At 45.0% G+C, this 16,338-nt stretch overlaps 1 protein-coding gene and 1 long non-coding RNA gene across 3 annotated transcripts in view; one reads left to right on the top strand and one right to left on the bottom strand.

Annotated features, from left to right (window-relative positions):
* The window catches only part of METTL9 (methyltransferase 9, His-X-His N1(pi)-histidine), a 60,264-nt gene extending 58,083 nt beyond the window's left edge, over window positions 1-2,181 (bottom strand). For both annotated transcript variants that reach the window (NM_001288659.2, NM_001288660.2), the window contains exon 1: window positions 2,089-2,181. In NM_001288659.2, coding sequence (NP_001275588.1) covers window positions 2,089-2,133 — 45 coding nt within the window. In that variant the 5' untranslated portion in view covers window positions 2,134-2,181. The remainder of the gene's footprint in view (window positions 1-2,088) is intronic.
* LOC101927814 (uncharacterized) lies at window positions 4-9,691 on the top strand. Its single transcript, NR_110930.1, has 3 exons — window positions 4-733; window positions 1,630-1,755; window positions 9,215-9,691. It is a non-coding gene; the product is annotated as an uncharacterized LOC101927814 (long non-coding RNA).
* Window positions 9,692-16,338: the final 6,647 nt, after the last annotated feature.

The raw sequence follows: 16,338 nt of genomic DNA, 5'->3' as shown, positions 1-16,338 counted from the left end.
CGCGTTCTCGTGTCCCGGCCCTGCCTTGGCCTCTAGTAAATGGCGGAGGTGGTTTTAATTTTTTTGAGGGCTGAGGAGATCACTTCCGAAGGCGGTAACTGCAGCCTCCCTGCCCCTCCAAGGTGGTGCTGGAAGGACCTCCAGTCTTTCCTCGCCTCATCCCACTCCACGGCGGGACTTTGACAGGGTTACCTCTCGACCCTCATCCCACTCCACGGCGGGACTTTGACAGGGTCGTGCAGTTAACCCCGGGGGCGCAAAGAGGGGAGTCATTCCTTTCGTGCATCCTGACACACACAGGTTCTTCCCGGAGACGAATGGTGCCAGTGATGGTTGCCCGCTCGGATGCGTAGTTTCCAGTTTACATTTAGAACCGACCTGCCAGACTCCCTCCTCTACTCTCCCCACCACCACGACCCGCCTGCCCCGTTCCCCAAGCCTGAGAAGTTGCTGGCTACGTGTTTCTATAAAGAATGAGTGAAAATTCTGCCTTTTGGGGAAGCTACCGCAGCTGGGGTACCCACAAGTAATGTTTTAGATGTATTGATGGCCCTGCCCAAGAATGAAGACCTCAAGTTAGACTCCTTGGCTGCCTTGTTTCCTTGAATTAGCACAGGGAAGTTGGACCCAACACTCTTAAGAGTGAACTCAGCTCTGGGAGCAGTGTTTAACCCGGATATTTATTTGATCATTTATAACACGAGGAGACCTAGCAACATTTCAGAACTGAAGGGTTAGTTACACTGTGTTCCTGTCTGCAGTTCTTCCTGCTATTATCCAAGCCACAATTAAGGAGTAACATTTCGTGGGAGTCCCTAACTTTAATACTTTCCTAGGTTTGTTTGGAAAGTGCTTTTAATTTAACTGCACCAGAAATAATGTAAATGTGTCTAAGTTCAAAACAAAAGAAGTAAGCCTTTTGGTTAATTCAGCGTTGCACATCAGAGATTTTCATTTATGAAACAGTGGGGTGGTGAGCCACAGATGGGGAACAAAATCATTCCTTACCCAACAGCTTTTTTTTTTTTTTTTTTTTGAAACGGAGTGGAGTCTCGCTCTGTCTCCAGGCTGGAGTGCAGTGGCTCGATCTCGGCTCACTTCAAACTCCGCCTCCCGGGTTCAAGCAATTCTTCTGCCTCAGCCTCCCGAGCAGCTGGGACTACGGGTGCGCGCCACCATGCCCAGCTAATTTTTGTGTTTTTCGTAGAGACGGGATTTCACCATGTTGGCCAGGATGGTCTCCATCTCTTGACCTCGTGATCCGCCTGCCTCGGCCTCCCAAAGTGCTGGGATTACAGGCGTGAGCCACCGCACCTGGCCCAACAGCTCTTTCATTAGCTTTTAAGAATCTCAGCTTGGCACCTTTGGCTAACAAGGATATCTTGTTGCCTAATGTAACAGGCTGTAACAACAAACAAAAAGGCACAGGGTGGGTGGGGTTCGGTATTTTGTGTTCTCTCTTTCCAATATACTCCCTGACTGCTTCCTGCCAAAACCCCGAAAAGCCCAAGCCTTACTAAATCTAGTTCAAACCTCTAGTGGTCCTGGCCCAAGTCATCAAAAAGGAACTATGGTAGCAAGTCCAATAACTGTTTATTTACTATGACACCTCTCCTTCCTGTCTCTTAGGATCAGTGTAACAGACAAAGCAACTCTGTCACAAAAGGAAGCCTTCATCTTTTTAAAGTGGGGGTGAAAGCAGCAGGAGTGCATAAAATGGCATATTTCCTTTCTGAAGACAAAGGAGACAAAAAGGTATGCCCCAGCTATAGAGTGAGACCACATAGCTGTAGCTGAGAGACTGCAAAATGTTATCAGATGAACAAGCAAGTAGATGGCTGCTGTAGTCAGAAGGATTTTGGGGTCAGTTGACTGCCACGAAGCCTAACAGCTCAAAGGAGCAGATTTTGTTTTATATCTGAGCAGCTGGCCTAGAAAAATAAATCACTCATACATTTAAAATACTCTATAATAACCACCAAACACTCAAACCCATGCTATTTACATTTAGCAGGCACAGGAAGAAACCAGAGCATCCGATGATCAAATGATTTGCCTGAAGGTAGCAGAGTAAATTCAATAGCTGACCTTTTCATAGAACTTGGTATCCCAGCTCGTGGTCTTTCGATCCATCTAAGAAGCTTTGCTGTCTCTTCTCAGAGAGCCTCCTGAATTACAAATGAGGAGAAACGAAAACAGCAAGAGTAAATATACGAAGCAGAAGTTCAGATTGCCCACTGGGGACAGCCCCCTTCCTTCATCTACTAGAATGTCACTACCGTATATTAAAACCTCAATTCTCCATAATGGAGACGGGAAGGGGCAAGATGACACAAAAAGCCAAATAGCCAATACTCGTTCTAACATGATCTTGAGATGCAGTTAGTAATATTCAAAAGATACACAAATGACCCTCTGCACCGAACTCTGCTCATTGACCCCAGGTGTCCCACTTGGGTCACAGCCCTGTACACAGGCCCAAAATTTTGGCGGGATCACTTTCCTATCTAGATCTCTAGGCAAAGGCTTTTTGTTATTGTTGTTCTTTGAAGTTACAAAGCTTGGCATTTTCATATTCTCTTTTCAATTACAAAGTATCATGTTAAGAGAATCCACAAGCAGAGAGTTTGGATCTGTACAAAACCTATTGATGATTGTTATCTCCTTGAAGAGATAATGATTTAAAAAGAACTCATATAGACCAGGCAGGGTGGCTCATGCTTGTAATCCCAGCACTTTGGGAAGCCAAGGCAGGTGGATGGCTTGAGCCCAGGAGTTCAAGGCCAGCCTGGGCAACATGGAGAAACCCCGTGTCTACAAAAAATACAAAAATAAGACAGGCGTGGTGACATGCACCTGTAGACCCATCTACTCAGGAGGCTGAGGTGGGAGGATCACCTGAGCCTGGGAGGCTGAGGCTGCAGTGAACTGAGATTGTGCCACTGCACTCCAGCTTGGGTGACCCTGTATCAAAAAATAAAAATAAAAATAACTCATATAATCACTTTTTTTTTCCCGAGATGGAGTCTTGCTCTGTTGCCCAGGCTGGAGTGCAGTGGCACGATCTCGGCTTGCTGCAACCTCTGCCTCTCGGGTTCAAGCAATTCTCCTGCCTCAGCCTCCTGAGTAGCTGGGATTATAGGCACCTGCCACCACGCCTGGCTATTTTTTGTATTTTTAGTAGAGATGGGGTTTCACCATGTTGGCCAGGCTGGTCTCAAACTCCTGACCTCGTGATCCGCCTGCTGCAGCCTCCCAAAGTGCTAGGATTACAGGCGTGAGCCACTGCACCTGGCCATAATCATGTTTTTATGGACAGATATTTTTTATGCTTCTTAATATTGTTTTGTATACCTTCAGAGAAAGATACAGCTTTTTCCCAGTATATTCAATAGAATGTGTCCTGTAGTTATTAAGCAATGAGCACCTCTAACAAAATTAGCAAATGTACTCAACAATTTGTTTAATTAATTAACGTAGGAGATCTTTATCTGAATTTAGTTGATACAACTTCAATCCTGTGCAATGATATCACTGTGGGCTCCAGTTGATGAATTCTAAGTCAAGGCAAAACTGCAGACAGCTTTGAAAAAAAAAAAATTAGTAGCCTAGGCCAGGCACCATGGCTCATGCTTGTAATCCCAGCTACTCAGGAGGCTGACACAGGAGAATCGCTTGAACCCAGGAGGCAGAGGCCGCAGTGAGCTGAGATCATGCCACTGTACTCCAGGCTGGGCAACACAGTGAAACTCCATCTCAAAAAAAAAAAAAAAAAAAAAAGCCTCAAGTAGCAGAATTGAACCAGGGGTTAGAAGATGTTAGTAGTTGGCCAGGTGCGGTGGCTCACACCTGTAATCCCAGCACTTTGGGAGATTGAGGTGGGTGGATCACAAGGTCAGGAGTTTGAGACCAGCCTGGCCAACATGGTGAAACCCGGTCTCTACTAAAAATACAAAAAAAATTAGCCAGGGGTGATGGCCTGCACCTGCAATCCCAGCTGCTCATGAGGCTGATGCAGGAGAATTGCTTGAACCTGAGAGGTGGAAGTTGCAGTGAGCTGAGATCACACCACTGCACTCCAGCCTGGGTGACAGAGTGAGACTCCATCTCAAAAAAAAGAAGACGTTAGTAGCAAATACAAGTAACATCGTGTGCTTCATTGGAGAACTCCCAGTGCTACTCATTAGCATGGTAGTTTATCATCTGCACTTTGAGCCAGACTATCTGGGTTTTAAGCTGGGCTCTATGCTTCTTGATTATGCAATTTGAGGCAAATTATTTGACCTCTACATGTCTGTTTCCTCATCTGTAAAATGGAAATAATAATAATGGTTACCTATTTCATAAGGATGCAGTGAATATCATGTTATATACTATAAATATAAAGGGCTTAATAAGTGCCTCAACATTTAGTAAACACTCAAAAAATGTTAATTTGTTTTCACTTTAACTTGGGTAAATCAACCTCATCTGAGCCTCTCTTTCCTCATCTGTAAACTAAGAGCCATGGTTCTGAGCTGTCTGCTTCACAAGACGTGTGTGAGAATTAGATGATCTGAGAGTTTTTTAAACTGCAAAACATCAACCAAAGTTATCATAATAAAGATGCTCAGTCCTAATGTAAAATGCCCACGTGAGGGATCTAGGTGGCCATCCTGTAAGAATCTAATGTCTGATGATCTGTCAGAGACTTTGGTCTCTGCAAAGCTACTCTCTGTAAAACATTCTCTTAGAACCCATGACGATAGCATCTCTTAATAATGTGTCTATCTTCACACATGTGTCTATCCTCATGACATTTCAAACTGAGTGGGGAAAAGAATATAAAACACAAAACTAGGCTGAGGTGGGAAGATCATTTGAGGCCAGGAATCCAAGACCAGCCTGGACAACATGTTGAAACCCCATCTCTACTAAAAATACAAAAATTAGCTGGGTGTGGTTGTGCAGGTACTTGGTAGGCTGAGGCATGAGAATCACTTGCACCCAGGAGGCAGAGGTTGCAATGATCTGAGATCGCACCACTGCACTCCAGCTTGGCTGACAGAGCAAAAGTCTGTCTCCAAAAACAAAGTAAAACAAATAAACACAGAACTATAAAAAAAAAATTCAAACCTAAAAGCAAAATCAGCTGGGCACAGTGGCTCATGTCTACAATCCCAGCACTTTGGGAGCCTGAGGCAGGCAGATGGCTTGAGCCCAGGAGTTCCACACCAGCCTGGGCAACATGACAAAATCCTGTGTCTACCCAAAAAAAAAAAAAAAAAAAAAAAAAACTACAAAAATTAGTCAGGTGAGGTGGTGTGTGCCTATACACCCAGCTACTCAGAAGGCTGAGGCAGGAGCATCAACTGAGCCTGGGAGGTCGAGGCTACAGTGAGCCATGACCACAGCACTGCACTCCAGCCTGGGTGACAGCACAAGACCATGTCTCAAAAAATAAAATAAAACTCAGGGAGTAAACTCAAGTTACCTACTTGTCAAAGATGCCTGTCTTTTTAGTAGGAAAGTCTTTTCCCCTCTGATATATAAAATTCTTCCCAGCTGGCTCACCTATGTACCCAGTCTGTACCCGCCAGGGCATTTCACCTGCTTACAGAACCTTTTGAACTCCCATGATTTCCTCCCTCATCATTCGCACATCTGTTTGTTTATGTCAGCAATATTAACCAAAAGACAAAGAAATGCCACTTTCACATATGCAATAAATATTTATTGGGTACATGGAATATACCAGGCCCTGGATTTACGGGAATAGAAAGCAAAATAAACACAATGTCTCACCTTCATAGAGCTTACCGTCTAGTAAGGAGACTGACCCGAATACATAATTACAAACTGCTGAGAGCGAGAAAGGATTTGTATACTGTTACGAGAACTTGGACAGATCTGACTTAATTAGGCGTGGAGGGCATGAGGGAAGGAGAGTGTTCAGGGAAAGCTGCCTTGAGGAAATGTGCTTTGTGGTCATTTTGACATCCCCTTGCCAAACTTGAAAGCTTCCAGATTTCCCAAGTTCCTCCTGGACTACAGGTATCCCCAATAATTGTGACAACAGAAATGGAGATAGTGCAGGACAGGCAAGTCCCAAAGTGGTGCTTAGCCCTCTGGGTTCTTGGCTTTATCAGGAAGGAATTCAAAGGCAAGCCAGAGGTAGAAGAAAACAGCTATATTGAAGAGGCTGTGTTACAGCTCCATGACTGCTCCTGCAGAGCAGGGCTACCCCATAGGGAGAGAGTAGCAGCTGAGGGTAGTTCAGTTCTGTAGCCATATTTATACCCACTTTTTTTTTTTTTTTTTTGAGATGGAGTCTCGCTCTGTCGCCAGGCTGGAGTGCAGTGGCACGATCTCAGCTCACTGCAACCTCCGCCTCCCAGGTTCAAGTGACTCTCCTGCCTCAGCCTCCTGAGTAGCTGGGACTACAGGCATGCGCCACCACATCCAACTAATTTTTCTATGTTGAGTAGAGACGGGGTTTCACCATGTTGGCCAGGCGGTCTCGAATTCCTGACCTCATGATCTGCCTGCCTCGACCTCCCAAAGTGCTGGGATTATAGGCGAGAGCCACTGTACCCAGCCTGTACTTGAAACTAAAAGTGGGAGGCTGGGCATGGTGGCTCATGCCTATAATCCCTGCACTTTGGAAGGTTGAGGTGGGTGGATCATGAGGTCAGATGTTCGAGACCAGCCTGGCCAACATGGTGAAACCCCATCTCTACTAAACATACAAAAAATAGCCAGGTGTGGTGGCAGGCGCCTGTAATCCCAGCTACACAGGAGGCTGAGGCAGGAGTCGCTTGAACCCGGGCGGCAGAGGTTGCAGTGAGCCGAGATCGCATGTCACTGCACTCCAGCCTGGGCAATGGAGCAGGACTCTGTCTCAAAAAATAAATAAATAAATAAATAATTGCATGTAGATTAAAGAGCTGTTTATGCAGAAATTTCTAGGGAATGGGCAGTAACTCCTAGGTCATTGGATCACTGCCATGGAAAGTGACAGTAACTGTCGAGTGTTGCCATGGCAGTGGTAAATCGACATGGCACACTGGTGAGCATGTCTGATTAAAACTACTTTCGCCCAGGCCCTGTTTTGGCTAGTTCTTAATCTGGTCCAGTGTCCACTCCAGTGTCCGAGCTCAACCTCTGGAGTAGAGTCCCACCTGCTACCTCCGACTGCTCATCAGAGCCTTCTAGAATGTGAGGAATCCCAGTGTCCCTCACATACACTCACAGAGTCCTGGAGAAAACGAAATGAGTTGTCTGGGCAGCTGTCAGCACAATCCCCTATATATATAGTCAGCTCTCAGATAGTAGCTGTGGTGGTTATTATGGAATCATAAGGCAGATGTAAACCTAGCTCTCCTTGGACAAGTTACTTAAGCAGTCCAAGAGATGAACAGCCATCTACTTTAAACTTAGTCTACTATAAGACAAATTAATTAGGGAGAGTCCTTCAACCTAAATCCTGGGCTCCACCAAATGAATCAGTTTCTCCAACAGAACTGTGTGAATTAGGCATTTTATTTTATTTAATTATTATTTTTTGAGACAGGGTCTCTGTTGCCCAGGCTGGAGTGCAGTTGCACAATCTCAGCTCACTGCAACCTCCGCCTCCTAGCTCAAGCGATCCTCCCACCTCAGCCCCCCAAGTAGCTGGGGCTACAGGCACACACCACCATGCCCGGCTAGTTTTTTATGTTATCTTATAGAGACACAGTTCGCCATGTTGCCCAGGCTGGTCTTGAACTCCTGGACTCAAGTGATCTGCCTGCCTCGACCTCCCAAAGTGCCAGGATTACAGGCATGAGCTACCATGCCTGGCCTCTAAATTAGGCATTTTAATACACATGTTTTGTACCACCTAAGTTGTGCTTTTTTTTTATTTTTATTTTTTCAAGATGGACTTTCACTCTTGTTACCCAGGCTGGAGTGCAATGGCGGGATCTCGGCTCACTGCAAGCTCCGCCTCCCGGGTTCAAGCGATTCTCCTGCCTCAGCCTCCTGAGTAGCTGGGATTACAGGCATGCGCCACCATGCCTGGCTGATTTTTTTTGTATTTTTAGTAGAGAGGCGGTTTCTCCATGTAGGTCAGGCTGGTCTCGAACTCCCAACCTCAGGTGATCCACCCCGCCTCAGCCTCCCAAAGTGCTGGGATTACAGGCGTGAGCCACCACGCCCAGCCCACTTCTGTATTTATACAGATCCTTCTGCCTGTGCTTCTGAATCCTTAAAAGACATCTTCACATACAGTATAAGCTACTTAAAGGAATATAAGTATTTTTAAATATATATTTCAACTAAATAATGTCCTTCCAATAACAGGTCTATGAGTCAGAGCTCTGACAAAAGACAGAAGGCTGTTGCTTTCATTCAGTTTCTAGGGCATTTTTGAAGGTCCAAATATCTTTCATCTAGTTTTAAATATCCTTTCGAAACAACCCTGTCCTTGGCCTCTTAATTGCTTTCTTTTGCATGTATGTGGGCTTGCTCTTCTAAATGACTGCTTCCTCTCCACCAAATTCACCGTGGGTATTTATTTTGAAATTATAAAGGCTTCTTATTTTATAAATATGAAACATTAAAACTTATGGTTTATATGAAATACATGGGGGAAGTGTCCTGTATTATGAGAAATCTTTTAAAACTTAAAATGTAAATTTTTTACGATAGACCAAATGTGTATATACATAAACATAAGTGATCTTAAAGTGTTTGTAAAACATACCACAAAATAACCACATTTCTGCTGGCATGAAATAAAACCACTGTTTTCTTTTTGCACAACCAAAACTGATCAGAAAATGAGGAAGAATACATTTACGAAAGAGGATACTTGAGTAATCAACCATCCTGAAAATCAGACAGAAATATCTCCCTTCTCTAGTGAAAACTATGACTGATTTTTTAATAGCCACAGCTAATCTGAGCTTGTTTTACAAGTTAGCCCAGGATCTTCCTCAAATTTATTGTGTGCACAACTCATTCAATCAGAGGAAAGGCATTTGGCTATCAGATCACCAAAACTGTGGCATTGTAAGACTCCCGCTACAGTTTTCATCTCCCTTTATGGTCTCCTCTTACCAAGAATTCTTTGTGCTATACAGTTTCTTGAAATTGACAAAGTCAATACTGATAACAGCTATTAAGTTTTTCTACAATAGAAACTTTATTTCTAAGTTCATTAGCTTTTCTTTTCTTTTTTTTTTTTTTTCAGACCAGTGTAATGTTCTGTCTCCCAGGCTGGAGTGCAGTGGTATGATCACAGCTAACTGCAGCCCCCCTGGGCTGAATCTGTCCTCCTGCTTCAGCCTCCTGAGTAGCTGGAACTACAGGTACATGCCACCACACTCAGCTAATTTTTGTATTTCTTTGAGAGATAGGGTATCGTCACGTTGCCCAGGCTGGTCTCAAACTCCTGAGCTCAACTGATCTACCTGCCTCAGCCTCCCAAAGTGCTGGGATTATAGGTGTGAGCCACCGTGCCCGGCCTAAGTTCATTAGCTTTCTACGCTCAAGTCTTTTGGAGAAGTTTGAGATGTGACAGCAGCAGGCATCAGAGGCTAGCAGCTCTCCCCCACCATGAAGAATTTTTCCCATTCAGATTCCAGCTTCCCCCTCTCACACCACCCCAGAGGGCATGGAGAAGCTGGCTTTGCTCAGGAACCACAATAAAGTGTAGTTTGTTATGTGTGAATGTAGAGCATGCTGTTCTCCGTCCAACATAAATCCATTTTTATAACCAAAACTATAAATGACAGTGGAGCCAAATTTGCTACTTTTTGGACAGACATCTTACAAGTTAAACAAATTGCTTTAGGTTCATTATATCCAGTTTTTGCTTTCATAAGGAGACATATTTACAGATAATTACCACATCTACAATGTTCATTATAATTATTCAATGAAGGAAGGCTTCAGGAAAAAAAATCTAAGTTATCCTTGTACAGTTTTGACAGTACATTGGATTCATGTTTAGAATCTGCAACATCCTGTTTGATTCATGTGCTGGAATTTCTCCATTATTATACTTTTTTTTTTTTCTCACAGAGATGGGATCTTGCTATGTGGACTAGTGCTTCCTCTTCAACTTCCTCTCCTTCAATTCCCTCTGAAGCCCATCTTTTCAGGACAACATTAACTCCTGTCCTCAAGTGATACTTCTACCACGGCCTCCCAAAGTGCTGGGATTACAAGCGTGAGCCACTATTCCCAGCCCATTATGATACTTTATTTTATTTATTTTTCTTTTTTGAGATGGAGTCTTGCTTTGTCACCCGGGCTGGAGTGCAATGGCACAATCTTGGCTCACTACAACCTCCGCCTCCTGGTTCAAGCAATTCTCCTGCCTCAGCCCAGTAGCTGGGATTACAGGCACCCACGACCACACCCAGCTAATTTTTGTATTTTTAGTAGAGACAGAGTTTCACCATGTTGGCCAGGCTGGTCTCCAACTCCTGACCTCACATGATCCACCCACCTCAGCCTCCCAAAGTGCTGGGATTACAAGGCATGAGCCACCACGCCTGACCCCATTATGATTCTTTCTTTTCTTTCTTTCTCTCTCTTTCTTCCCTTCCTTCCTTCTTTCTCTATCCTTCCTTCCTTCCTTTCCTTTATTTCTTTCTTTTATTTCTTTCCGTTCTTTTCTTTCTTTCTTGCTCTGTCTCCCAGGCCGGAGTGCAGTGGTGCCATCTCGGCTCACTGCAACCTCCGCCTCCTGAGTTAAAGCAATTCTGCCTAAGCCTCCCAAGTAGCTGGGATTACAGGCATGTACCACCACACCCAGCTAATTTTTGTATTTTTAGTAGAGATGGGGTTTTGCCATGTTTGCCAGGCTGGTCTCAAACTCCTGACCTCAAGTGATCCACCCACCTCAGCCTTCCAAAGTACTGGGATTATAGGTGTGAGCCACTGCACCCAGCCTATGATACTTTAAATAGCTGCATATACATGGGTGTATTTTCATCTTGACAGATGGTAAATCATAGCACATTTGAGGACATCAAGCATTCATTAGATCCTTTGCCCTATTTAGAACTTATATCTGCTTGGACACAAGTATCAGGAATATATTATATTTTTGACATATGTTAAAGGCTGTTTCAAGAAAAAAATTTAAGTCAGGTCTTTTTGACATATTAAGCTGTATATGGAGTTAATCATAAAATCGCCCTGAAAAATCTCTGGAAATAGAGAAATAAAATTGCTGTCTGAGAACCACACTTTAAAACATACATATAGGCTGGGCATGGTGGCTCATGCCTGTAATCCTAGCACTTTGGGAGGCCGACACAGGTGGATTGCTTAGGCCCAGGAGTTTGAGACCAGCCTGAGCAATATGGTAAAATCCTGTCTCTACAAAAAATTACAAAAATTATGTTTTTATGGCTGACCAACCTCCTCCTCACCCTCCAACCGCAATGAGCTGTTATTTCTACAATTATGTTATACTTCAGTCAATTTGAAGTCAAGTCTTGGCTTGAGGCCTGCCTTTTTTTTTTTTTTTTTCCTTTTTTCCTTAGGAGGTCTCAGATTGAAAACTTGAGATCATGCACTGTCACAGCCATGACAGCCACTCCTCAATCTCCTGTGTAACTGGTTCTGTTGGATACTCGTCAGCTGTGAACCATTCACTCTCAGAAACATACACTGACAAAACCCCAAATTATCACCTCCTTCATGATCCCATACACATGACTTAAATGTGATGGGAGGAAAAAAAAAATGGGCTGCTGGGGGACCTGCCTTTTTTAAAGGTGACTTTGCATGTCTTTGCTCAAATCTTTTTTTTTTTTTTTTTTTTTGAGATGGAGTTTCACTCTTGTTGCCCAGGCTGGAGTGCAACGGCGTGATCTTGGCTCACTGCAACCTCCACCTCCCAGGTTCAAGCGATTCTCTTGCCTCAGCCTCCCAAGTAGCTGGGATTACAGGCATGTGCCACCACGCCCAGCTAATTTTGTATTTTTAGTAGAGATGGGGTTTCCCATGTTGGTCAGGCTGGTCTCAAACTCCCAACCTCAGGTGATCCCCCCGCCTCGGCCTCCCAAAGTGCTGGGATTACAGGTGTGAGCCACTGCGCCTAGCCCTCCAAATTTATTGTACACACACATATACGTATGTATACATATATGGCTCCATGATGTATATATGTGGTGTGTATATACACATATGGGGAGATATATATATATATATATATATATTTTTTTTTTTTTTTTTTGAGACTGGTTCTCACTCTGTCACCCAAGTTGGAGTGCAATGGTGTGATCTTGGCCCACTGCAGCCTCCACTTCCCCAAGCTCAGGTGATCCTCCCACCTCAGCCTCCCGAGTAGCTGGGACCACAGGCACATGCCACCACGCCTGGGTAATTTTTGTATTTTTTCATAGAGATGGAGTCTTGCCATGTTGCCCAGGCTGGTCTCACACTCCTGGTTTCAAGCAATCGGCCTACTTTGGCCTCCCAGTGCTGAGATTACAGGTGTGAGCCACTGTGCCTGGCCACCAGCTCTATCTTTACCATCAACATTGGAGTAAACATTTACATCAGGGGTCAGGGGTATCCAATCTTTTGGCTTCCCTGGGCCACATTGGAAGAAGAAGAATTGTCTTGGGCCACACACAGAATATACTAACACTTGCTGGGCATGGTGGCTCATGCCTGTAATCCCAGCACTTTGGGAGGCCAAGGCAGGTGGATCACATGAGGCCAGGAGTTCAAGAGCAGCCTGGGCAACATGGTGAAAACTTGTCTCTATTAAAAATACAAAAATTAGCCAGGCATGGTGGCACACGCCTGTAGTCCCAGCTACTCGGGAAGCTGAGGCAGGAGAATTGGTTGAGCCTGGGAGGTGGAGGTTGCAGGGAGCCAAGATCACACCACTGCACTGCAGCCTGGGTGACAGAGAGGGACTCCTTCTCATAAAAAAAAAATGCAAAAGACTCATAATGTGGTTTTGTTTGTTTTGAGACAGTTTTGAGACAATTGCCCAGGCGGAGTGCAGTGGCACAATCAGGGCTCACTGCAACTTCTGCCCTCCGCCTCCCAGGCTTAAGTGATTCTCCTGCCTCAACCTCCCGAGTAGCTGGGATTACAGGCACGTTACCACCATGCACTGCATTTTTAGTAGAGACGGGGTTTTGCCATATTGGTCAGGAGTTGGAACTCCTGACCTCAGGTGATCTGCCCACCTCGCCCTCCCAAAGTGCTAGGATTACAGGTGTGAGCCACCTCGCCGGGCCAAAATCTCATGAAGTTTTAAGATTACAAATTTGTGTGGGGCTGCATTCAAAGCCATCCCGGGCCGCATGTGGCCCACAGGCCATGGGTTGGACATGCTTGATTTATATCAAGAGGCAGGAAGCCCACATTCTAGTATTTCCTTTACACTTTCCACGTGATTTTGGAAAAATCACATAATCCCAACTACCTTGTCTTTAAAAATAGTAATCAATTGGCCAGAAGTGGTGGCTCACGCCTACAATCCCAGCACTTTGGGAGGCCGAGGTGGGTGGATCACTTGAGGTCAGGAGTTCGAGACCAGCCTGGCCAACATGGCGAAACCCTGTTTCTACTAAAAATACAAATATTAACCGGGTGTGGTGGTACGCACCTGTAGTCCCAGCTACTCGGGAGGCTGAGGCAGGAGAATCGCTTGAACCCAGAAGGGGAGTTTGCAGTGAGCTGAGATCATGCCACTGCACTCCAGTCTGGGTGAGAGAGCGAAGCTCTGTCTCAAAAAATAAAAAGAAAGTAAGTAAATAAATAAATACTAATCAATCAAGACCACCCATGCGTAAAGGTATGGACCATCACCTGCTTACTTTCTTTGGTGAATTATGAATTATGTGAATTTTTTCCAAATTCTAATATAAATACATCTGTACTTAGTAATGCAACAGAAGTGGTATAATTTTCTTTGTTTTCTTTAAAAAACCAAGTCTCACAAATTCAGAGTTCCATAATCCTCCGTAAAACAAGAATTTATTATAAATAGTACCATACCTGTGACAATGTTTATAAAGGGAGATGATCTTTTCCTTTGAGAACTATGTGCTTGACAAATTATCACCTTCTTATGACCTGAAATAAAAATCCTTGCCTTTCTTACCCCTGTATGTTCATCACACACACACACACACACACACACACACACACACACACACACACCTGCTCTGTTTCATACTGTAAGGCTTGCCCGGTCTACTGTGAAGTACCTGGGAGGGAAAAAAAAAAACAACTCTAGAAATGAAATGGAAATAGATATATTTTTACTCCATGACATTCTAGATCTGGGCCACAGCCTACTCTCCATGAAAGAAAGCCTCCTACAACAGCACTGCAAGGGTACCGCATGTCACTTAGAACAGTGACAGCACCACTAAGCGCCAGACATTGTGCTAGTGCTTTCCATATGCCATCTTTTTTTTTTTTTTTTTTGAGACAGAGTCTCACTTTGTCACCCAGGCCGCAGTGCAATGGCTCGATCTCAGCTCATGCAACCTCCTCCGCCTCCAGGGTTCAAGCGATTCTCCTGCCTCAGCCTCCTGGGTAGCTGGGATTATAGGCGTGCACCACCACGCTTGGTTAACTTTTGCATTTTTAGCAGAGACGGGGGTTCACCATGTTGGCCAGGCTGGTCTCAAACTCCTGACCTCAAGTGATCCACCTGCCTTGGCCTCACAAAGTGCTGGGATTACAGGCGTGAGCCAGCACGCCTGGTCTGCCATCTCTTTTAATCCTCCTAACAATCAAATGAGGTGGATACTATTATTACCAGCTTTTTATAGAAAATAATCTAAGGCAGAGAAAGCTTCCATTGCTTTTACAGTGAATAAATAAATAAGTGGTTGAGGCAGGAATTTTTTTTTTTTTTTGTGAGACAGGGTCTTTGTCACCCAGGCTGGAGTGCAGTGGCATGATCTCTGTTCCCTGCAACCACTACCTCCCGGGCTCAAGTGATCTTCCCACCTCAGCCTCCTGAGCAGCTGGGACGTCAGGCACGCACCCATACCCAGGCATGCCCAACTAATTTTTGTATTTTTTGTAGAGACCGGGTTTTGCTACATTGCACAGACTGGTCTCGAATTCCTGGGCTCAAGTGATCTTTCCACCTCAGCCTCCCAAAGTGCTGGAATTACAGCACCGTGCCTGGCCGAAGCAGGATTTTAAACTAGGCAGTCGGGTTGCAGAACCCTCATTCTTCACCACAATGCTTTACCGCCTCCTAGTGTTTATTTACTTTTGTAAAATTTTTTTTTGCAAGCCGGGCACAGTGGCTCACCCCTGTAATCCCAGCACTTTGGGAGGCCGAGGCGGGTGGATAACCTGAGGTCAGGAGTTCGAGCCTGGCCAACATGGTGAAACCCCGTCTCTACTAAAAATACAAAAAATTAGCCAGGCGTGTTGGCACGTGCGTGCCTGTAATCCCAGCTACTCAGGAGGCTGAGGCAGGAGAATTGGTTGAACCCAGGAGGTGGAGGTTGCAGTGAGCCAAGATTGTGCCATTGCACTCCACCCTGAGCAACAAGAGTGAAACTCCATCTCAAAAAAAAAAAAAAAGATATTTTTGCAGAGATGGTCTTGCCTCGTTGCCCAGGCTGATCTGAAACTCCTGGCCTCAAGGGATCCTTTTGCCTCAGTCTCCCAAAGTATCAGGATTACAGGCATGAGCCATTGCGTCTGATCTTAGAGGTTTTTGTTTTGTTTTGTTTTGTTTTGGAGATGGAGTTTCGCTCTTGTTGCCCAGGCTGGAGTGCAATGATGTGATCTCAGCTCACCACAAACTCCGCCTCCTGGGTTCAAGCAATTCTCCTGCCTCAGCCTCCCGAGTAGCTGGGACTACAGGGATGCACCACCATGCCTGGCTAATTTTGTATTTTTAGTAGAGACGCGGTTTCTCCATGTTGGTCAGGCTGGTCTCGAACTCCCGACCTCGGGTGATCCGCCCACCTTGGCCTCCCAAAGTGCTGGGATTACAGGCGTGAGTCACCATGCCCAGCAAGTGTTAGTGTATTCTATGTGCGGCCCAAGACAATTCTTCTTGTGCCCAGCCGCCTTAGTGGTTTTTTTGGTTTGGTTTCGTTTGGTTTGGTTTGAAATGCAGTTTAGCTCTTGTCACCCAGGCTGGAGTACAGTGGCACAATCTCGGTTCACTGCAACGTCTGCCTCCTGGGTTCAAGTGATTCTCCTGCCTCAGCCTCCCAAGTAGCTGGGATTACAGGCGCTCGCGACCATACCCAGCTAATTTTTGTATTTTTAGTAGAGACGGGATTTCACCATGTTGGCCAGCGCATTAGTGTTTTTCAAAACAGGCCTCAGATCACTAGCGTCAGGATCACC

This window comes from Homo sapiens, chromosome 16, assembly GCF_000001405.40.
Source record: "Homo sapiens chromosome 16, GRCh38.p14 Primary Assembly".
Classification (NCBI taxonomy): Eukaryota; Metazoa; Chordata; class Mammalia; order Primates; family Hominidae; genus Homo; species Homo sapiens.
The sequence above is the reverse complement of the archived record's forward strand: the minus strand, read 5'-3'. Positions and strand labels throughout refer to the sequence as shown.